Raw genomic sequence first — 1,852 nt, forward strand, 5'->3', positions numbered from 1 at the left:
CCTTGCCCATGCCTATGTCCTGAATGGTATTGCCTAGATTTTCTTCTAGGGTTTTTATGGTTTTATGTCTAACATGTAAGTCTTTAATCCATCTTGAATTAATTTTTGTATAAGGTGTAAGGAAGGGATCCAGTTTCAGCTTTCTACATATGGCTAGCCAGTTTTCCCAGCACCATTTATTAAATAGGGAATCCTTTCCCCATTTCTTGTTTTTGTCAGGTTTTTCAAAGATCAGATGGTTGTAGATATGTGGTATTATTTCTGAGGGCTCTGTTCTGTTCCATTGGTGTGTATCTCTGCTTTTAAAGAAATTGTCTAAGGAGCTGATTTCTGTCTCTTCAGTATGAGTATGAATAGGACATGGAATGCCTTGGGGACACTTAGAACAACAATAACAAAAAAAAAATTGGGCAGCATGCTACTTCTTCAGAGGGCCTGTGTACAGCAGACACCAACAGGAACAAGAGATTATAAAATCCTGAAAATAAAAAGAAGCTGACACATTCCTCTAATTAGGAATATACACACACAAGTCCAAAGAAGGCATATTTACAGAAAAAGTCTGAAAGCCCTCAAAATCTCTAGCCAACATGAGTGGTAAAAGTATTTTCCTGTATGAGGCCAGTTTGTAAAGACTAGGAGAGGTGGATTTTTTTTTCCCAAATGTATGGGTATCAATTCAAAGTTATATGAAACATAAAGAAATAGAAAAAAGTGGCCCAGTAAAAAGAATAAAGTAAATCTGTAAAAATTGACCTTAAGAAAATGGAGGTATATAAGTTACCAGACAAGTAATTCAAAACAACTGTCATAAAGATGCTAAATAAACTGAGGAGAAGGATGCATGAACAAAATTTGATAGAAAGAGATAACAATTAGATAACAAACGGAAAGTATAAAAAAAGACAAAAGAAATTTTGGAGTTGAAGCATGCAATAGCTGAATTGAAAAATTAATCAGAGGTGATCAACAAGAGACTTGATGAAGCAGAAGAAAGAATGATGAACTCAAAGACAGATCATTTGAAATTATCTTGTCAGATCACCAAATAAATGAATAACAAAAAGCATGAAAAAATTATGTTTTATGTAAACCCTGTGGTAACTACAAAAAATAACAATAGAAGATACACAAGAAAAATGCAAAAGAAATCAAAGTATGTCACAACAACAAAAATCAACAAAATGCAAAGGAAGAGAGCAACAGAGAAAAAGAGGGGCAAAGAGCTAAAAGACACATAGAAACCAACAAAATTGAAATTACCTTAAATATAAAGGGATTAAACATCATAATCAAATGGCACAGAGTGGGTTACTTGATAGAAGCAAACAAGCAACAAACATAAGTGTCAGCTATAAACTATCTATAAGAGACTTACTTTAGATTAAAGAACACATATAGGCTTAAGACAAAAATATGAAAAATATATTAATTTCAAGTGGTAATTAAAAGAAAGAAGAGGTGGTGGTACTTACATCAGACAAAATAGAGTTTAAGTCAAAAAAATGTTCACAAGAAACAGAGAAGATCATCATATAATGATTTAAGGGTCAATTCACCGGGAAGCCATAACAATTATAATTATACACGTACCCAATATCAGAATACCTAAATATATGAAGTGAACACTGACAGAACTGAAGAAATGGGCAGAAACACAATAATAGTAGGAGACTTCAGTTTCCCACTTTTAATAATGGATAGAACATACAGACAGATCAATAAGGAAATGGAAGATCTGGATAACACTGTAATCCAAATGGAACTAACAGACATATACAGAACATTCTACCCTCAAAGAGCAGAATACCCGTTCTGCTCAAGTGCACATGAAACATTTTCCAGGATAGAT

The sequence above is a fragment of the Homo sapiens genome, chromosome 6 (assembly GCF_000001405.40).
Source record: "Homo sapiens chromosome 6, GRCh38.p14 Primary Assembly".
Classification (NCBI taxonomy): domain Eukaryota; kingdom Metazoa; phylum Chordata; class Mammalia; order Primates; family Hominidae; genus Homo; species Homo sapiens.